The sequence below is a fragment of the Homo sapiens genome, chromosome 3, assembly GCF_000001405.40.
Source record: "Homo sapiens chromosome 3, GRCh38.p14 Primary Assembly".
Classification (NCBI taxonomy): Eukaryota; Metazoa; Chordata; class Mammalia; order Primates; family Hominidae; genus Homo; species Homo sapiens.
Window position 1 is genome coordinate 21,506,818 of NC_000003.12, and position 22,976 is coordinate 21,529,793.

The 22,976-nt window shown below is 36.4% G+C and overlaps 1 protein-coding gene across 19 annotated transcripts in view, besides 1 other annotated feature; it reads right to left on the reverse strand.

The window, feature by feature from the left end:
- ZNF385D (zinc finger protein 385D) overlaps positions 1 to 22,976 on the reverse strand; it is a 960,546-nt gene that overhangs the window by 94,600 nt on the left and 842,970 nt on the right. For 18 of the 19 annotated variants that reach the window (NM_024697.3, XM_017007192.2, XM_017007191.2 and 15 more), the window contains one exon: positions 4,044 to 4,206. In NM_024697.3, coding sequence (NP_078973.1) covers positions 4,044 to 4,206 — 163 coding nt within the window. Of the gene's footprint in view, positions 1 to 4,043; positions 4,207 to 4,804; positions 4,941 to 22,976 lie in introns of all 19 variants that reach the window. The other variant, XM_017007201.2, reaches the window with a different exon arrangement.
- Positions 10,352 to 10,853: an enhancer, noted in NCBI's record as "NANOG hESC enhancer chr3:21558661-21559162 (GRCh37/hg19 assembly coordinates)". NCBI's record gives its function as "activates a minimal SCP1, AML or CMV promoter by ChIP-STARR-seq in primed H9 embryonic stem cells {active_cell/tissue: H9 hESC(primed)}" and the evidence as "EXISTENCE:reporter gene assay evidence [ECO:0000049][PMID:30033119]".

The following is a 22,976-nucleotide window of genomic DNA, read 5'->3' on the forward strand; positions in this document are numbered from 1 at the left end:
ATCACAAGAACTAAAATTGTTCTTTAACGTTAGGAAGTGTGTTTTTGCCTTGAGATAGATGAACTAGGCATTCTTTCTATGAATAGTCAGTGGCTGATCACTGAATACAATTTTCTGCTCAGCACTCTAGCAGACTGGCATAATTAGAGAAAAAGGCAACACAAAAACCCAAGATCATAAAGTTAGTGAATAGGAGCTAACCCCATGGTTTAGATGTATGTGTTACCCCAAGGCAGCAGATAAAACCTTATTATTTATACTAATAAATAATATATGACTTGAAAATTTAAGAGGAATTATCAATCAAAATTGTCTTTATATCAGTCAACTAGGTTTACAATGAAAATTTAGTTTCTGTGAGTATTCTTTCTATTTCTTACATTTTAGAGAAAACCGCCAAATCAATTTTCTAATTAAAGGCCATACCATTTCTTCCCCTTTTCACTATTGTTGCCCCAACCCTCTCCAGGGGTTCTCATTTACCAAAGTATGACATGTTTAACATTTTTCAAAGGAATTAGTTTGGGTTTTTAAAATATATATATAATTGGATTACTCTTTTCATATAGATTTTTTAATTAAAATGATTTGATAAATTACTAAAATGTGATTTCATGTGTCTCTATCTTTTATATATGGACAAGCCTACAAATCACAAAAGATTCTTGTGCATTACCAGAAATTTTCTTTTTATTATTAAAAAATGCATGATCTTTGATTCTAGAGTCTTATCTACCTCTTCTTCTCCTTCTGCCAAGTATTTAACTATTCTACAAAATTAGCTCAGAGTCCTTTTGTTTTGAGATGAGGTCTCACTTATTTTGCCCAGTCCAGTCTCAAAGTCCCAGATGCAAGGAATTGTTTGTGCCTCAGCCTTCCAAGTAGGCGAGTCTATAGCCACATGCCACTGTGCCAGGCTCAGACTCATTTTGTTTTCAGAGTTGTGCTAATCAGTATGAGGAAGCACATAGTAATAAAAAGAACATGTAATTGCTTTAAGAAAACTCAAATTTGTTAGCCTAGATGCCTCAGGTTTATACTGCAATACAAATAGAATAAGGGTCTACGAAATGGGTGTCTTTTCTCATAGAGAGTTTTGTGTAAATTCAGTTTAAAGAGAATTTGGCTCAAAATATCTGATGAGTGTGCTGGAACTCTTAGCCTCTCAACCTATATAACTTGCTTTTTTGTTTGTTTTTTTGTTTTGTTTTGTTTTTTCCTGATATAGGTCCTCATGGATTAGGAAAGCAATGTCTTTCCTAATGTCCATCGCTTCCTTCTTTTGGCTTTAGAATATCTGCACCAACTTTACAGACTTTACTATCTCTTCTGCCCTTTTGAAATTTTCTCTAGCTCCAGCTTGGAAGGGTGCTTCATCATCTCAACACCATTTCCACTGTTAGGTAAGTTCTGGCATGTTTATGTTATCTTCAAAAGACAAATCCAAAGTTTGTTACCACTCAACTTCTGAAAGGACAGATCCTGGAAGACTGCCACCCTTCAAAGTTGTAAAAGAAAATAAAATTTAAGGACCCTCTAAATTTATTATGCCAAGGGGTGGGGTGGGGGTGTTAAGCACTGGTGTCTGAGTCACATAACATGTTTGCAATTTCTGCTTCTTTGGGGTTAATTCTCTTCCTCATTTTCTTGTTCTGTAAATGACTAGGAGAGACCAGACACCAGACTGCCTCCCCCTTCCAATTACTGATATTTGTTATATATTAACTACATCCTTTATTGTCCTGTACCTAAGACTAGATGGTGCAAAAGACCCCATGAGTATTAAATCCTCAGTATAAAATGTTAAATATACCTTTCCCAAAAGAATAAGACCACCCCAACCAATGTCAGATTACTGTAACTAAGCATTAAGCCTTATATAGAAAGAGGTGTTGAAATTCTGTTAAACTTCCCTAAACTTTGTCTATAAAAATGATACTAAACTTCTACACTTTGGAATACTGACTTCCATTCTTTGGAATCTGTGTTTTCTGGGCAGCCATTCTCCAACTTAACACTTGGATAAACTCTCTTTAAACTAGATTCTGACCCTTTGGATTATTCTAGGTTGACGTATTCTAGTCTCTAAGTTAAGAGATGAAAGTATCTAGTCACAACCCATTTACTTAACAGAGACAACACACCTGGGGGCTTTTTTTTTTTTTCTTTTTCTTTTTTGAGATGGAGTCTCGCTCTATCGCCCAGGCTGGAGTGCAGTGGCACAATCTCGGCTCACAGCAAGCTCCGGGGGGCTTTTCTTAACTCAAGTTAGCAGCTCTACCTACCACACATATATATATTTTTAAATGATGTGCATCCTTAATGAAACACATATTTTCATATTTTAAAAAAGTCAAGATAACCCAAAGATGAATTGTTGATTTAAAAAGTCTAAAAGTAGAAAAAATTTGGAGCAAGGAAAAACGTCACTTTAACCCTTTACATCAAACTCATCTCTTTGTTCTCCCTACCTACTGCCTTCTTTGCATCAAAAGGCTTCAGGATTTTTCTGCACTTCTCTATGCCAGATGCTGCTTTGGGGATCCCCACCTGTGACCCAATATCCGGGAGCAGAAATTACACTTACCTGCTTCATTACCACTCATTCTCTTTCAGCCCTCAAAATAAAGCAGGTAGTCTTCGATTATTAGAGAAAAGACCAAAGCTTTCCCTAAAAGGTTTAAATCTAAATTAATAAAATGGCACAATCCAGCTCTTGCTCTGGATAACAAAGAAGTGAATATGACAAGCCTGTCTTTTTTTTTCCTCTTTAGTATGTGGTGGCACAAACTTGGCTATATCAGAGAACCAAACCAAAGGAGTGAAATAAGTCTCAGTCATTCAACAGACATTTTACTCAGCATTTATCCCATGCCAGACCAGTTGCCAGCATACAAAGATGAGACATGTATTCAGGCTGAGGGAAAACACAGGGCTCTTAGGGAGGGCAGCATGATGCATCTACAATAATACCTGAAGAAAATACAAAATGCCACAGGAACTAAGAATATCATTATCCCTTACAGATTCACTTGCAGCATCCCCAGTCCTTGGAAGAGCTGATATGTGTCCATTGTGTAATAAGGATGTTACATTGTGTAATAAGGTTGTCGTAATCTATTCTATTCATTCACTGTTTATTTTCTGTTTTCATCAGTCATATCCAGAAGATCCTCTTTCAGTTAAGACACTATCATTGGTGATGATATGAACGTTTCCTTACCATTGCCATTCACATGGACTGGAAAACAATTGAGGTGTAACAGTCTCTGTGTTCTAGAAAGTGATTTATTAGAGGTATATCCATGAATCACAGAGGAATATTTTCTCTGTAGATTTCGAAAACCAGTGGTCTTATATTTAAAATGTCAGCTTGGGGAAACCTCACTAGCTTCCCCTATTATGAATAAGCTGGTCGTTGGCAGGAGCTATCCCAAGGGGCCATTCAGAGGCCATTATTTCACCGTGAAGCCTCTGTTAAAAAGAGTAATTGGTATCAATAACACTTACCTGTGTTTGCAGAGGGAAGGTTACCCAGCCATAACAAGCCCAGTATCACACAGCCACTACTTAAAACAATGCAGTATTTGGAATTTATGACAATAAAGGCTTTCTGTAATAATGCCCTTATTGGGGCCTTCTCAATTCATTTAGCATACTTTGCTGTGTACTCACAATTAAATTAAATCTGCCATGCAGTTATAAGCTAAGGTGCTGCATACAAGATGCAAATGCTGCACACTGAAAAGGTTCATTTCTCAAAAAGAGTTATGGGGTACATGGCTTCAAATGCCTTTTATGACTATTCCTCTGAAACAGCCACAGGACTCTTGCAAAATGCAAAATCTGGAATATAATTAGTGATTATCTTAATCTTGCAGGGGTTTGGAAAAATGAGAGGAAACAATTACCATTATACAGAAAGATGGCTCAAGCATGAATCAATATGGCAGGCACATAAGTAAACAGACATGGGGCTAGACAAGGGAGGGAATCCCCAACGACGACGACGAGGACAACAACAACAAAGATCATTGCTTAACCTGTTTTGTCAGAGCTGGTATTGATGGTATTGGTAGTGATGGAGGTGAAGGTAGTCTTTGCGCTGTCCTTGGCAGTTACAGATTTCTGCTTATTTTTCATGGCTTCCAGTGCTTTGAGCTTCTTGGCATGTTTCGTGCCTTTGTAGTGGGCCGCAGCCTGGCTCTACAAAGGAGAACAAAATGAACCATGCAATCAGGCTCATTTCTAAACTGGCATTCTCTGTATTACTGCAAATACAGACTCCCTTTCAATAACAGGTACCATTCGAGCTAATTCTGGCCGTGGCCAGACAGTGGGGTTCTATTTAGAATGATGCTAGAAAGCAATGGGAATCCAGTTGTAAAACCTCAGGATAGAAGGAAGAAATACTCTGTTGTTTATCTTAAGAGAAATGTAGCTGAACACTGACACATCAACAACATTTTCTTTGTGGGAGCGGGGAAAAAAAATAAGAATTTACACCTGTATCATCTTTGTTCTGCCACAGAAGATGCTGGGCTCCCAAAGATTAACAAGAGCCCTAGAAAAGAGTAGCTTTCACCTTCTTGGCTTAGAAAATGCATTTTCTCTTTCTACAATGTGTCTTATTAATACAGTCCTCAACAGGTGTCTACAAGGAAAGGTTCACACAAAACAGGGGAAGTAAGCACCCTGGAGACTGAGATTGAAGCTTTAGAGTTCAAAAGCAAATGCACTTCTTAAGTTCAAATGGAGCACACAGAAGCCGGGCAATTTCAGATTCTTTCTCCTCACTTCTTACCAAGGGTAGTCTGAGAAGTTCAACTTAGTGTCATTTTTTCAGCGCATGGATCTTTCATGCCCCAGTCCATTGTTGGGAGGCTCCAGTGTGTTTGTACTACCTAATGGGGCCAATCCAGTTCTTTTGCTTGTGCCATCTGAGATATATAGAGAGAGAGTTTAGAGTGATATGCATTTTCTCATGTTTTATTTTCCTAAGAGCATTTTTTTTTTTTGTGGGGGAGCGGTATAGTGAAATACATTAATTACCGGGCGTGGTGGCTCATGACTGTAATCCAAGCACTTTGGGAGGCTGAGGTGGGTGGATCACGAGGTCAAGAGATCAAGACTATCCTGGCCAACATGGTGAAACCCCATCTCTACTAAAAATACAAAAACTAGCTGGGTGTGGTGGCACACACCTATAGTCCCAGCTACTCGGGAGGCTGAGGCAGGAGAATCGCTTGAACCCGGGAGGCAGAGGTTGCAGTGAGCCGAGATCACGCCACTGTACTCCAGCCTGGTGACAGAGCGAGACTCCATCTCAAAAAAAAAAAAAAAAAAAGAAGTACATAGAGATAGAAAGTCATATTTAAATAAATGTATGTTTATTAATGTTTATTTCTTGGGGGAGAAAATACTGTAGTTGGTGGGTAGGGTAAGGGTGACCAGGAAGATTCTTAACTTAGGTTTTCCAGGTCATAACCTTTCCAAATGTCCCCCACAAAAGGATATCTCAGTAGAGGATTACTCCTGTTAGATTATCCATTACTTCCCATTGCTTATTTAAACTAAGTACTTCACTTTGCCAAAAAATAATAATCACATTGTCCTCTTCATTACAGAACCTGTGATAACTAGGGTGTTGCAATATAATATGTTTTAACAAATAATTAAATAGTCCACATCTTCATTTGCATCATTCTAGCAAGATATCCTCAAAGGACTAGGTACCCTTATTGAAAGAACACTGGACAAGAAAATTATATATTAGAAACAGTTTGAACAGAGAGCACACTCATGCATCAGTTACAAGTTTTCCAACAACACATAACATCAAAAGACATAGTGTGAGCCAAAATATGAAGTTAAGACATGCTATAGTTAATTGAGGAACCAGCGATAGATTGGATTAAGTTGATTCTACATGGAGAATGCCACTTTGAGGACAAAATTTTGTCTTTTTTTTCCCTGCCTAATTCTCATTTTTAGTATATCAAGTCCTTCGGCCATAACATTTGAGAACGATATGCTATATTCAATTAAAATCACAGGATCACAGGTCATCTTCTTTAGGCATCTGGATATATCATTTCCCTTAAAGCAGAGTTTCTCTTCTCTTTGCAAGTAACCCTTTCCTTGGTGATACAAGTGAATGTTTAATAGATAATATATATTAAAAGATGGGGGGTGAGATTAATCGTGCTATCTCCACTTATACCTCCAAAATAGACATTTCATAGGTTCCTAACAAATCTAACATTCTCAGTGGCATTTAAAATTAAACAACACTTTGTTTTAACATATCACAGGACCAGGTGATTATCACTATTTTTGAAATTAAGAAACTTACTACAAAGGAAGCCCACAAGTTAAGAAAGTCTTACACCAAAAAACAAAAACAAAAACAAACCAAAACAAACCCAAATACCAAACAAACAAAAACCTCTCTGCACAGGCACAACTAAACCAATTCCCTCTAACAAGTGAAACAGCTCAGGGAGTTGTGGGAAGAACAGGGTGACAAAATGACCAGAAGTTGATAGGCTCCCAACAGAGACACTTAATATCTTAAAATGCAAAATGCAAAATAAGACAAAATGAAATGCATATTCACTCGTTTATTGAATGACAGTACCAAAACACCTTGATAATAATTATTTTAATTATAAATTATCTGATTTAAAGGCAAATAAGCCTTTCCCAAATTAAAAATAAGTAAATAAATTATATGAAGGTCCAAGGCGTTATAGATAAACCAAGACATGTAGAATTTAGGAGAAATTGAGTATAGTGGGGTGATGGTTGCAGACGACATCAATATCAATATGATTGTAATTGTGCAGGGTATGTGTGTTGGGGTGGAAGTGGGCATACAAGTTGGAAGGCTAATATAGACAGATAACCCTTCTAGATATTTTAAATTTTCTTTATCATTGACTTTTAGGTAATGTTTATAGAATTTATTGGACAGTTCCTAAATTATCCTAGCATAATTTTTTCTAATTTATCTATAGTGACGCCATAACTCTAGATCTACCTTGATTCAGGTATGCTGTATAACAGTGTATTCCCTATGTGAAGGCAGAAAACCCAGCAAGTCTCCTTATCCCTTTGGGCCACTTGATAGATGCAGATAGACAAATAGATTGAAGTAGATAGATTATTCATCCACATTTTCTCTCTCTGTGACTGTAAAAAAAAGCTGCAGCCTAAGAAAGAATTTTACTGAGAGATTTTTTTAAAGCATCAGTTGGCCTGGGATGTCTCTTTGGGCCTCCTCTGCTTTTCTTTTGAGCAGAGGAGTGTAGGACAGTTATACCATATACTAGCACAACAAATTCCCTAAGAGATTGTGTCTTATTATTTATCAGCAATTTTCTGAGGGTCGTCATTGCCAGACACCTGGGAATTCTCAATACACATGCAAATAATTATTTTTCACAGATATGACTTCTAAGTTAAATAAGTAACTGTACTAATTCATTCTACCGTATTTCAGAATTTTGTATTTTAAAACTAAAGCAGAATCGAGTGATCATAGTACATATGGACGTGAGCAAAACAATAAGATTTGAGCTTTAACAGCTATTTTTATTAAATTGAATTAAGTTTAGCCTAAAGCTACCTCCTACCTATCTTAAATTTGGCCTAAAAGTTTCCGCATACATAGTAAACTGTAACGTAACTTGATGTGTAAACAGACTGTTACTTTCTGTATAACAAGTAGCGGAATCTAAATCAGTCACAGCAACTGGACTTAAGTCAACCACAGGCAGCCAACGGTTCAAACCAAATTCAAATAGGACAAACAGGGAGCTTTAACCAATCAGGCTATCTCTGTACCTCATTTCTGCTTGCTGTATGTCACTTTCCTTTTTGTGTCTATAAATGTTATTCAGGCACATGAGAGCCCTGGAGTCTTATTAAACCTTTCCTGGTTCTAGAGGCTGTCAAATTCTTGTATTGTTCTTTGCTCAATTAAACTCCGCTAAATTTAATTTGTCTATAGTTTTTCTTTTAACACTTTAAATAATAAGTGGAATATTAGCACATTGTGTTATAAAAACCACTATGCCAATCTTGAAATAGCACATGACACCATTAAATCTAATAAGTGTCATCCCAGAGGCAAGGGCTGACATTAAAGATATGCACACACGCGTTCCTGTAGAACAGAACGCCATTTTAGATGTAATAATGACCACACTTTAGTCACCAGTAGTCAGCCACTTTTCAATCTTCAAATTTTATCTTCAATATTTCAGAATGGTTTTTAGTTGAAATGCAACTGAAGTTTCAGTAGATAAAAATAAGTCTTAATTAGCTAACATTTGAGAGAGGGGTTTTGTCATTTTGAAACATGCTCATGCACATTTATCTTATTTGGCTAAATAAGAAACTTCTCTATAAATTGTTATTGCCCTATAAAATTCACTGAGAAGTTACTTTTTAGTATTTCTTTTATTCCATTAGCACCAATACCTTGTATACTTTTCACATCTCTTTTACAAAACATGTCTTATGCTTTTTAAAAACTCAGACATTTATTATAAGCATATATATCCAATAACCATAACCAATTAATTTTCATGAACACAAATAATTTCAAAAAGAACAAGGTAGCCTTTTTAGTTTGTGATGTCATGTAATTTTATCATATATTAAATTTGAATTAAAATAAAATAAACTTTATCACACTGATGGAATTCAGGACATGCCACCCCAAAACATGACTGGAATGAAACTGCCTTTGCAAAGATTACAAAAGCAAGAGAAATTTAGCACAACTGACTCCATCTTGCTTATAACCTCATAGGTGGCCCATCTTAGCTCATTCCTGGGCGTGGGCCAAGCTAACCATGGGAGAAATTTAATATATAGTTTAACATTGAGGCAAGGATAATAGGCCCTTCCTAAAATTGATCCCCACCTTGTTCAGGGCTGAAACCACCTTTGTAAGACCTATAAAAGGCCACAAGATTAGGATTATGGAAGGGACCCTAATCCTGCTAAAATGTAGGCTTAGTTACTGTAATCCTTTACTGCACAGGAGTCATGTGGCCAGAGGTCACAAGATTTGTGACTTCCCCAATTGCTCCTATAGATAACATCACTATTGTAGAACCTAAAGTTGGTCTTTTGAGATGTTTTTCAGACTTTTTCATTCTGACAACTGAGGAACCCCACCAAAACTCATGACTCATGATTCCACAGGTCCTGTGGTCCCCCACCCAGAGGAGGACTCATTACATTTTCCACACCCCTATGATTGCATCCCCAACTAATCAGTAGCAACCATTCTCTAGTCCCCTGCCCACCAAATTGTCCTTGAAAAACACCAACCTCAGAGTCTTTGGAGAGACTAATTTGAGTGATAACTTGAGTTCTCCCACATGTCCAGCCTTATGTTAATTAAACTCTTTCTTTACTGCAGTACGACGGTGTCAGTGAACTGGTTTTCTGTGTGCAGTGGGCAGGAAGAACCCAAAAAGATAATTACAATAGGAGACCAGAATATTCCACTGCAAATATAGTATAAAGACCATTTTGAGCTGATTATTTTCAGAAATAGCAGACAAAGGAGAATTTCTCAGAGCAGAGAAGTTACCCTTTTTTTTAAAGAGAAATTTACATCTATATGTCTCCCTCCCAGTACCAGGAAGATAAAGATGACTCTAAATCACTAGAGACTCTGATCAATGGAGATGGCATGAATTTAAATCTGCATAACACACGTTACTCTTGTTTATAGTACTCCTCCTGGCCACCTCCCCATAACTGGGCCTTTCTTTATATACTTTTTTCCTTGTTTCAGCAAAGGATGGTATTCAAGCCTGAAGTCAAAGTCATCTCTTTGAGTCTACTCTTGGGGTTTACTAATTTCTCTGGGTCATCGTGCATGCATACCTGAGTTATACATCTTAGTAAACTTTTGTTTGTTTTTTCTCCTGTTAATCTGTCTTTTTTGTAAGGGTCTGTCCCAGCTAGGAATTATGAAGGATAGAGGAATGATTTTTTTCTTCCCTTGCAATATTAAAATGTAACACCAGAAAAGAAAAAATGAATGGTTATTAGAGATGTCACCATCCTCCTTGGGGAAAGAAGAGAACATTTCAGCCAACTGAAATGTTTTTCCCTTTTTTTGTTTTTTTAAAAAAATCTAATTTATTAAATTTTAGCTTAGATTATTTCAGAGATAAAAATTATCAGATAAAATCTAATATCCTAAAATCTTAAATGATTACAGGAAAAAAAGCTTAAAATTTTATCTTTTTTTAATGTTGATAATATATATTACTGTTTATGATCCTAAATTTCTCAAAATGGAGTCACTTGTGACAAGTGACTCAGCCCACAGTTAAACTGCTGACCCCTCAAAGTTATAAAGACATATATGGTAGACTGAGGGGATAAAGTAGCACCTGCTGTGTCCAGACACCCTGAGACTTGGCAAGTAAGTGAAGCCAAACGACTGCCGAGATAATGGCCATGAACACACCTGTGAAGGGTCGTAGAAACAGAAAAGAAACTGACCAGGGCTAAGATGCCTGCAGACTCCCTGCTGGTGAGAATGCTGAGGCCTCCTTACTGCCTAAGTGCTGCAACACCCCAAACCCATGGCCAGCAATGTGTTGGTTTCCTGAGCTACTCATCAGTAGTTTATTCCCTTTTTTTCTTATTACTGTCTGTGTGTGTTAAATACATTGGCATAATTGTTGGTGTGTGAAAGCCTTGCAATAAACCTTGAATTTGAAAGGATTTAATTGGCCCTTGAGTCACTGTGAAACCTCCCCACCTCCAATCAGAGTTAATACAACTAGGCTGATTGGAACCTGAGAGAGTAGTTGCATACGGTAATCTGACTAGTTAAGTCACATGCACAGGTGCAGCCATATGGGTGAAGATCAGTATGCATTCTAATTACTCAGTGGCTTTTTGAATAATTGGAATATCAGTTTTGTATATACCAGTTCAGCAGCAGATTTCCAAATTCTTACTCATCTTAACTTTTTGATTATCAACTCTCAGCTTCATTTAACATTCATATAAAGCATTTGTTCTCAAATTCTGGTCCCCAGACCAGCAATCTTAACATCATAGTGTGGGCTTGGGACACTGTTAGAAATAGAAATTCTCAATCTCCATCCTGGACACATTGAACCAGAAACTGAGAGGGAGGCTCAGTAATGGGTACTTTACAAGCCCTGCAGGTGATTTGGTTAACTCTAAAGTTTAAAAACTATTCATCTTAAGTATAAATGCATTTTACTCCCAAAGTGGCCATTTCTTTTGGCACTTCTTGCTGAAGTCCAGGCTTCTTAAGATGAATGTATAATCATTTGAAGATTGAACATTTTTACTTGAACAATGTATATTACTCACCCTAAAAATTATCGATTTTTTTTTCCTTAAAAACATGTCAAAAATAACTCAGATACATGTGTATTTGGGGAATTTCTATCCAAGAAGGATGAACTCAAATAGCAAATTAACCTTGAAAACATCCTTATAATTCTAACATTACATATGAGTGCTTTCCAAGTCCTTGCGATTTTCTCTTTCCAGATTTTATCTTTTCTCTCCAAGGTAATTATTGTCGCAGGACAATTCCTGATCTCATTACTTTTATCTCTATATTGAATGCATTGTTATGATCCAGTTTGCAAGGGCTAGAGGAACCCCCTTGTCAATAAAAATAATGACAGTAATAATAAGCAAAAATCAACCCCTGTATCAAACTCTTAAAACTTCACTATAACAAAGAATATCTAATCCACTGTTTTATTTGCATTAAGCTGAGTTAGTGTTAGCCATGTCTAGTTTTTTTCCTTATATACTTATGGTTTTTTTATTGAGAAAATTACCTAGCCAACAGGCAAACAGAAATCATGTTGGTAAGCCAAGAGATTGTCTTCTCTACTGCTCTATTTAACAAAACATTTGAAGAAGAAATTTAAAGATAGAATAGTTCATTGTTATAAAATTTCCTTACTGCTGTGAAGACAAATTATGCAATGCAAGAAAAGACAGGATATAGATATATTTATTTCTTAATTACATGCCCCATATAGAATATTTAATAATTCATTTCAACTTGTTATTGTGTAGTTATCATGTAAATAGAAGATTACATTATGAATAAAAATGAATATTCACTCGCATTTTTTCCCGAAGTGAAAAACATGATTCAATTAAGGGTATTCTTTTGAGCTCAAGTGATTGATGCTTTACTTTAAATGTATTCCTGTCTTCTGTACTCTTCAATACAGAAATGAACAGTAACAGCTACGGGAATAGAAAAAAAGGGGGGGAAAGATAATACCACAGGATTACTGTGATTCTCATACACCACCACTACTCAGTGGGGAAAAGAAACATTCTAAATACACATGAAGAAGAGGAAGAGAAGCATGTCACAAATTCTCAGATACATTTGGTAACTAATTTTTAGAAGCAAAGAAAGTACTTTGTCACTAAGTACTTACATGGCTGTGAAAAAAATAGTCTAGATGGGGTCACTTTTCAAAGCTTCTCAACTCATCTATAAACTTCACCATTCCTTAACATTAGGTATTTAATGTTTTCAAGTATCTAAAGTGAATGATATAGTAGAGAGTGCTTACCTGAGTGAGGGAAGCTAATTTGAGAGTTACTGCCTGGTTCCTATTATGAAAGAAACCCTTGCTTTTGTATATATCTTGAATTCAAACAGCTATCTCCTTGAACTCTAAAGGAGAAGTCCTGATTGAGGAACAGAGGATAGCAGTGGGCTTTGGAAGCCAGCACACAAGTCTAATCTAGCTAAAAGGAAGACAGGCTCTGCAAAATTTGCTCAGTCCTTTTTGGAGCTTTTTGTAAATCAGAGATCTAAATGACTTTTAACTCTAGTGACAGAAGCACAAAAATTTCAAGTTTGTACAAAACTGAGAAAAATCAGAGAAACCACTTCGTCTAGCTGCTCAGCCAGTGTACAAAATCCCTTCAGAATGCCCATAGCTTAATACCTGGCTCCATGTGTGACACACACCATTTGAATAGGATGGGGAAGAATTAGAAATGTTCACTCTAATTATGTTCAAAGATCAACTTGTCATAGATGTTTGTATCAACAGCAGAGAAAAACTTGTTTTATATCCTGGCATAAATAAAATGTGCGTCTCCTCTAATCCTTAATTTCCTCCTCCAGCAAATGCTCCCCTCTCTGCTACTCCCAATGTCTGCTCTCTAGCACGTGTAGTGTAGATAAATGAGCAATAGCTCTCCTCACTTTGTTTTCCTAAGGAAAACGTTACAAGAAGAATCATTTTTAAGCCCTTGTATAAAGAGTTCCCTCTGCCTGGAGCACCTGTACTTGCCTGGTAGATGTTGGGATGCCACCTTCTCCATGTAGTCTTAGGTATGTCTGCATCGTAGCACTTATGTCACTGCCATAAGAAGGGTTAAATGCCTGTTTCTCCTAACAGAGAGTGGATCTCATAACAGAGAGAGGAAGACCTGATATTACTCATCATCCTGTCCCTAGGATCTATCATACATCTCTAAATAGTTGCCTATTAAATTCATGTTGAATTAATTTCACATTTTGATTTTAAAATGGAAATATGCATATGGAGTCTCAATGGATTTTGTATGTGAACAGGGTTTAACTTAATTCTCTGTCATTCTTTGGCACTTCGCCTTATCTGTTGAACACACTTCAGGGGATTTTTATGGCACTTAATGCTGGAAAACCATCTGGCACAAACACAAACTATTATTTTTTCTCTGGGAAGAAGCTTACCATCAAACACAAATTGTGCTATTTATGGGAACTCTCTCTTTTCAAGGGATGTAGCCAAGGAATAATATGGAGATTGTTTTGCTTTTTAAACATTTAAATGAATAACTAACAGGTTCTTTTTAAATCTGAGAAATACAATGAATAATTCCAGTGATGACTCTGCATTTTAAGGGTTATCTAAAAGACAAAATTCTTTTAAATATGCACATAAAAATGTTCAGTACTCGGGAAATGCTAGTCCTTTGTTAACACCATTTTTAAACTTCTAAAATGAAATATTTATGCTCTAAAACCAATACAGAGAAATTGAGTATGGCATCATTAACACATTTCCTCCCTACATAGTCACATAACACATACTCTGTGTTTGCTGAAGAACACCTTAGGGGAAAAGACTAAATTTCCTACTCCTCCATAAGTCAAAGAAGGTCTTCCCTCTATAGTTTTGTAGAATTTGCAATCTCTAATTCATAAATCTGAGAATAGTTCTGATTGTTCCTTTTATGAACTTGCCCCAGAGATCATTTCTAAAATGTTCAATTATTAATGAGATCCACAGGGTCCACAAAATAATGGCTTACAGTTGAGCCAAATGTTTTGCCAGTGTTAGAATAAACATCGTCACAGTTCTCCGAGGCACTTTGGTTACATTGAGAAAGGCTGGAGAACAAGACCACAAGTAACTTCTAAAACCTGAACTCTTTTGGTGGAGTCTACCCATATTCAATTCCTTTAGCTGTTCATTCATTCACAAAGAACTTATTGAACAGTTACTGCACACCAGATGCTCTTGTAGGTACTGATGAATTAGAGATAGAGTGGTGAACAAGTCAGACTAAAAAATTAAGTTGCATGTATAAATCTTCTAGCCTGGCACAGTGGCTTACACTTGTAATCCCAGCACTTTGGGAGGCCACAGTGGTAAGATCACTTGAAGCCAGGATTTTGAGACCGGCTTGGGCAACAAAGCAAAACCCCCAACTCTGCTAAAAAATTTTTTTAAAGCCAGGTGTGGTGGCATGTGCCTGCAGTCTCAGCTACTCAGGAGGCTGAGGTAGGAAGATCACTTAGGTCCAGGAATTTGAGGCTGCAGTGAGCCAGTGTACTCCAGCCTAGTCAACGGAGTGAGATACTTTCTCTTAATAAAACAAAAAGCCCCAAAAACGTCTCTATAAAAAAATACCATAGGCAAAGTAATATAAATTTGTAAAAATACTAGAAAAAAATGTGTAACTCCTTTTGCAGAGGGGTTAATCTTCCAGCTACATAAAGAATACATAGAAAATTAGGAGAAAAAGACACCAGCCCTTAGAATAATTGGCAAGAGCTTCACCAAATTCAGTAAGATAAATTATGTCGAAGTATCTATGGCTTCTTGGGATAGAATAGGGCCCTATAATGAGAATAAATACCAATTTTGGCCAAAATAAAGGAAAATGAATGTTCTGTATAAATCAATTCGGTGCCCTGGCTGAAATTCTAGATATGGATGAAAATTGTGAATAAACTGTGCTTTTATGAAAATTATGGTTTTGGAGAAAAAAGAAAAAAATGTTTTTAATAGGAAAAGTTGAGCAAACTGACCCCATCTCAGGGCACCCCTGTGACCAAACAGAACTCTGAAGTGGGACATTTTATATGCAAAATCTGGGGAAATCATCCAACTTCTTAAATAATGCTTTCCTCCCAGACTTAGAAAAATATTTGGTGGACCCACAGAAAGCATTGCTTTTGTTTTAACTTTTTTTTTTTGAGCAAGAGTCTCACTCTGTCACCCAGGCTAGAGTGCAATGGCACGATCTTGGCTCATCACAGCAACTCCGCCTCCTGGGTTCAAGCATTTCTCCTGCCTCAGCCTCCCGAGTAGCTGGGACTACAGGCATCTGCCACCACACCCAGCTAATTATTGTATTTTTAGTAGAGACGGGGTTTCACTGTATTGGCCAGGCTGGTCTCAAACTCCTGACCTTGTGATCTGCCTGCCTCAGCCTCCCAAAGTGCTAGGATTACAGATGTGAGCCACCATGCCCAGCAACTTTTATATAACCAAAATTGCAGAACGAAGTGGTTTGGGGACTAGATTAACTCTTGGAGGGAGGGAGGGTAAGCTGGGAAGGGACAGTGGCAATGACTCTAGAAGCCTGAATTATCTGAACATGTACACATAACTGATTTCTTTTTGTGCTTAAAGTTTTCCTATTGCATTAAGAAAAAAAATTTTTTGTTTTCTGCCTGGCTATGTAGGCAGGTATAGGTGAGTTGTGTCAGCAAGAAAGTTCTAATCCAAAGAGTTTAGTGTTTAGTTAGGTGCTAACAGCACACTATCCACCGGTAGTATTTAGTTGTCCTTGGTAGGATTTTGGCCAGAGGAATTTTTCCTGGGGTGATTCTTGGAGGAAGAGTTTAGTGTGTCATAAATGTATTAAGGAGATGCTGCTATTCTGTCACACAGTGGTTGTTTGTGTGAGGCATTTATGGAACACTCCAATGTGTCAGGTAGTGAGCTGAAGGCTTGATATGAATATTTCATGTGGAATAAGTGAATGAATACATGATATGAATATCCTCACTTATTCCCTTTAAAAGCCTATGAGTGAATTGCAACTATCATGGGAATTTTATAGATCGGTGGATTGAGAATCTAAGAGCTAGAGCAGCTTAACCACAAAGTATGAACGGAAGAGAACTTGTACTGAAGTCTAACTCCAGAAACCAAACTTGTAGCCCCACTTCTCAACCCAAAAGAGAGTGTACAATGATAAATAACCTTATTATGTGATTTCACAGTGGCTTATCCTTCAGAGGACATAAGACTAAATAGTGCATAGGAATTATTATTGATTTCTGTGACAATTAACTCATATAATTTCACTCAGTCTATCACAGGCCCATAAATGGATTAAATAATATTACGTGCATCACTCTTCTGAGGGTCTTCTTCAATTTTTCAGTACCTATTCCAATAAAATAATGTTGATATGCTAAGCAAAATAAAAAAGACTATGCAATGTTTTGCTTATATCCCCAAATGTGAAGCTTTCAGACATTAGGAAGTATGCTTGGGAATACAAAGCAGGTGATGGGGAAAGAAGTCAGCTCTTGCACAAAGTTTGTAGGTTCATTTAAAGATTATGTTCTCTATTCTGTTAACATGGAAGGCTGTGCAAATTTTTTTTTTTTTGAAAAAAGAAATAAAACATGTTTGCATTTGTATGACATCACTCTGGCAGGGGCAGGGAGTCTAGATGAGAAGAGGAGGGCAAGACTGGGGAAGGAGTGAAAGGTAAAAGGATCATTATAGCTGCACAAGTAAGAGATGGCCACATCTAAGAATTTGATTATGACGGTGAAAACAGAGAAATGAGTAATCATTTGGCTAATATGTAAATTAAAAATTTTCAGAATTGATGATGAATTTTGAGGGGTGGTCTCAAAGATGCCTTGCAGGTTTCTGCCTCTTGCAAATGCACGATTGGAGATTTCATTTCCTAGAATGGTTGATATTCAAAGAAGTCCCAAGGTTTGGGGGAAGAGCATGAGTTGGGTTAGGATACGTTGAGTTTAATGATCCTTAAAAACACCTAAGTAAAATGTGGGCTCTGCAGCTATGTGGTCGGTAGATTAGAGATGAATTCTAGGCTGTAGCTAAATTGGGAAATTAATCAGCAACAGATGGTAACTGAAGCCACTGGGAAATGTCATTTGAAAGACAAACAAAAAGAATTTTCCTGTTTAAGCACTGAAACACAATCCTTCATCAGCTGCAACATTTGAATGAGTGAACTAAGACTCCAACTGACCATTTATGGGACAACATATTTCCAAATTCTTCACTGGACATCATCACTTAGCTTTAAAAAAGTCTTTAAGTCTTTTCTGAAAGTGCTTAAGATCTTAAAGTTCCAAACAAAGAATGAATCATTCTCTTTTCATCCTCACACTAAGTTAACTAGAAAGTTAACATATTTCTCTCTGTATATAGAAAATAATCTCTCAGAATTTGGTCTCTAGAGGCCAAATTCATAAGGATAAAAGTCCTATCACTAGAACAGCAAGAGGGGATTCGTAAAGTCCAACTATAGAAGGCTACAGTGAGTTGTCCTCCAAACCTGGCAGTAAGGTTGTTCTCCCTGAGTTAAAATTGTAGTGGATGGAATTAACATTTACGGAAATCTTATAAAGGGGAGGTCAAAAGCAGGAAGGCAGGATGGGGGTATTAATCAAGGGCTGACTATATATAAAAGAGAGCTGTGTCTTAATGAATGTTATTAACATATCTGAACTAAGACTATTAGTTGAATAGGTTTCACCCTGGCATCTAGAGAAAGGGAATTTAAAGATTAACTTCACATAGAATTCTTTTTCTCTCTGATAAATATAGGGGAGAAAACCACACCACTACATGATCTTACTTTTGAATGTGCCATTCGTTGCTGTCTATGACAACCAGAGAAAAAAGGGTCCATTCAGTAAATCATGTATTTTTTAATATTTTACAAATATATCATTTAAAAGTCTCAATAATTACAAAAATGTAAGCACCTCCAGCTTCTAAATGTAGGGAAACAAACAAAAAGCTGCAACTCAGTGAGATTTCTAAAATTCTACTCTGTGTTTTTTCAATATTTTCAGATATTAATTTTCAGTTTTTAAATTGACCTCTTAAAGGTATATTCAGTGATTTGAGGAAGAAATGCCAAACAGAGACTGCATTTGGCGTGTATTTTTTTTTTCCAATGGCATTTGCCGTTAGCACTGAGGAAGAAAAAAGTTTTCTCTAAGTAAGAATTATTAAAATTTTGGGCCGGGCATGGTGGCTTATGCCTGTAATCCCAGCACTTTGGGAAGCCGAGGCGGGCAGATCACCTGAGGTCAGGAGTTCGAGACCAGCCTCAACATGGAGAAACCCCGTCTCTACTAAAAATACAAAATTAGCCAGGCGTGGTGGTGCATGCCTGTAATCCCAGCTACTCAGGAGGCTGAGGGAGGAGAATTGCTTGAACCTGGGAGGCGGAGGTTGCAGAGAGCAGAGATCGCGCCACTGCACTCCAGCCTGGGCAACAAGAGCAAAATTCCATCTCAAAAAAAAAAAAAAAAAAAAAACTATTAAAATTTTGACTTTGCAGACATTAAAAAATTTTTTAGACCATCTGATTTTCTATGAGATCTTAATCTCCAAATTGTTTGAATTTACCATGGTCAAAGCTAGTTAAAAAAATTAGTAAACACCTACATTTTATGACAAATTGAGACATTCCAATCTGAAATACAGCGGTTGTCTAAGTGATGTTGTTAATATCACTGCTTTCATTTCCTAAACCAGCAAGTGATTTTTTTTCCCCTTGGGCATATATTAACAATTTACTTTTTGTAGACAAGTGCACAAATATGATTAGCTTTTGCAAATTGCTCCTTATTCTGTTACTGGTAAGTAATTTTTATATTATTACACCGTAAACAGATGCTATTTTCCACTACATATTCAGCTGTAATTAGCTAATTTAATGTGTTAAAACAACAAAAGAACTTCAAGAATGATTCAATGATTCAAGCTGCATGGAAACTAAGAGAAATCAAGCATGAAGTTTGTAAAAGTATTCCAAAATTTAGTTTTTGATAAGGAATTGTAGAGTGCCTGTTCCTTAAAGTTGTTTATCTGTAGTTGTGTTTTCACCTTTGCAGGGCTGGTCCTGCACACAAACTTCCAAGCAGAAGGGCTACACAGGTGCCTCTGCTCATTGCTCTTCCATTTCCTAAAACTTGAGCTATTAGTTCAAGTATCACTCCTCTGCATTGAAGACTAGTTTTGTTTATATATTTGTTCATTTCAATATTGATACATGCGGCAATGTTTCTGCCTGTGACATAGCAATATATCTATATATACATTATTGCAAAAGTGGTGCAAGAAGAGGAGATGTAGAACATGCAGCCATGGAGATAGGATAAAAACTCAAAAAAATCTAGTGTCATGGAAGCAAGAGTGATAAGAGCTTCTGAAAGGGAATGCCTATCACTATTGACTGCTGCTGCTATAACAGATAGGAGGGTGTAGAAGTGTCCGTTAGATTTCGCAACATGTATATTATTGGTAACTGTCATACAAGACAGGACAATTTAATGCTAATTCATTCACTGGAACAATAGATTTTGAAAACAATAGATTTTGGAAAGGAAATAAAGGATCTGAATGCTTGGTCATGAATTAGCTAATTGGAATGGCTTCCAGAAGCAAACTTCACCCATCTGACGCGATCGTTCTTAACTGAGCACTATTATCTTATTTAGTACTACTAATAGGTATTTCCATATTATAAGTGAGTATCTGGAAACAGATCTGCATTTGATTCTATCATTTAGAAAAGCACAAAGATGAGGTAATATCTTTAATAGCATTAATAAGTTATCTTAAATACTTTCACTCTTTTCAAAAAAAAAATCCATGATGTAGAAAATCTTAAAAGTACAAATAAGGAAAAGGTGTAATATAAAGTAACTTATAAACTAGTTATCCAGTGTTAATTCTTTCAGACTTTCAGGGATATATTTTTCTATCAGTAGGTACATAGTAGGTGCTCAGTATCTATTTGTTGAATGATAATTACATATTATTATACAAAAAAAATGAATCACACTGTGCATACTGTTACAGTAACCACTGTCTTCAACATTTCTTCATTTGACGAAGATTTCTTGGTTTACATCCTCATGATGGTTGGCATTCTTAGGGAGAAGTGCTATACCTTCGTACAGTCAGAAACAAGCTATAAACATGAAGGTGCAGTTCTCAACTAGGCCCCGAACTTTATTTATATACCCAACATAATTCATTTCACCTCCAGTATGAATTTTTTTCTACTCCTAAAATATTAATAGAAAGGTTATAGAAAAGGTTATCATCAAATTACTGAATAGAATGATTTATTGGTTATCTTTAAAATAAATCGTTAAAGACTACAGAGGAGTCAAATCTTAATTATCCATAGAAATATCATTAACTTCAGGCTTTCCTCCACAGATTAGTATTTTAAGATTGACTTTCCTCTGGTCTTCAGTAGCCCTAGTGTCTGTAATGGCCATGACTTGCTAAATCACCAAAACCTCATGGAGCAGAATGGCCTGAAAACCAGAATGCTCACTGCAGAAAAACTATGTTAAAAAAAAAAACTATTTCTTCTAAGCCTCTCTAGCTTAGGGCATATTTGTCATCGCAGCTTTGTGTTAACATAACTAATACAAATCATTTTCATGGATTTTTACGTGAGCACTAAGAGCGTAAAGATATCCTAATAATGGCTTCCAAAAATTCCAAAGAATATATTTTATGTATTATTTAAATGACTTTATGTAAACTTCATACTTTTCCTCCAAGTTGGATTTTATTTTGCCCATTTCAAAGATGAGGAAACTAAGGAACACAGTGTTTAAATAACTTCCCAAGGTCCACAAGTAGTAAACGACAGAGGCGAGATTTGAAACCAGGTCTCCCTGTCTCCAAAGTTCATTGCACCATGAAGAATTTCTCAAATATTTCTGTCTTAAATGCAGATATTCTTCAGCTTGAAAAATAGATCCAGAAAGGGGAGAGAGAATGAAATAGAAGTATTTTTCTGACAGAGTATAATTCCCACTTTCTTCTTTTACACCAGAAACTAAATAGAAAAAAAAATGTAAAATATGCTAGCTAGTTCGTGGGGTGCAATCTCAGGGGCATATAAAAGAAATGCGTTTCTTCTTCTGTGACACACAGCCAGACTACACTTCTCTCAGAGTTCACTGGCTACTTGACTGAGTGATAGAAATAAGTGCCAGTGAACAGGATCTGCAACATGTCCAGCCCTGATGCACTAAAAATTCCTAAGTGTAGATTTCCTGGCTCTTTCCTTTCTGCCTGCTTGATGCAGACAAATGCAGCAATCTTGGAAGCTACCCATTAAATATATTAAAACAATATGATGGAAGGTACTGGATTCCTGAATTGCCACATGAAAGAGGTGTGGTGGATCAAATGGATCATAACATTTGATTCAATGGATCAAAAACTCTTATTTTGGATATTACATGAGCAAAACTTAAGTATCTAATTTGTTAGAGCCACTATGCATCTTTTGATTGATGTATACAGCAGCCAGAGTTACATGAAACTAACAAATACATCTACTTACTATTATGCTCTAATCCTGGAGAAACAGAGTACTCAGCCAAAGTAAAGAAGAGAGAGTTCATGAGCATATGGAAACAATGAAGTCTGTAAGATTTCATTTTAGCTAATCTTTGTCTAAATGAAGCATCAAAGTGCTCTGAAAATCTACAAGTTCTATGGCCTTAAGAAAAAGAAGAATATAACATATATTTTTGGAGGCCTCTTTTGAGTATTTCTTTAGAAAGACTAGAGTAAAGTAATACCTAGAAGATGTGCTGAACCTCAGATTTGGACTAAACAAAATCACTTTTTCCATTTTTTTTGTGTGTGTGTGGATAAACCCAAATCACTTTTTCCATATTTTTTTTGTCAGTTCTTACTAAGTCAATATTTACTTTGTATGGTTGGCATAACTAGTTTCTCAAATGTTCCACCTGAAACTAGAGATAGAATATGACTGTGGGGTTTTCTTACCATTGCAGGAAAGCCAGGTAACGTCTTTGTGCCACAGTGCAATCGAATTTTGGTTTCTGATATTCCTCTTTGACTTTGACCGAATAAATAAAAAGACCCTGTGACTTCCTAAGGAGACTTGCAAATGATTGATGAAAACTCTCCAAGATCTTAATATAATGTATGTCAAAAATAAAAACTACTTTTATTTCAGGAACCCTTCAAGTGTACAGCTTTTTCATCCTTCTTCATTTTTCCTGGCTGTCCTTTCTCATCATAATTTAGAAAGATTTTTTTAAAAATTCACTTCTGCCTTTACTTTCAGGAGACCCAAAGATGATCTTGTGATTATTTTTTTTCCATCTTACGTAAATTTTATCTATGGATCTTAAGTCCCTTTGGCAAACATTCAAGATGAGAAACATTGCCTTGCAGTAGGTATGTAAAGGTAAAGATAGCATAACTCTTCATTAAAATCTTAACACAACCTAGAATATCACAAACCACAGGTCTAGGAGCTGAGCATTAGTCATTAAGTCTTATTCTAGGTAAAACGGAATGAAACTAAGTTTGTATTTACTGGTCCTGAGTTTA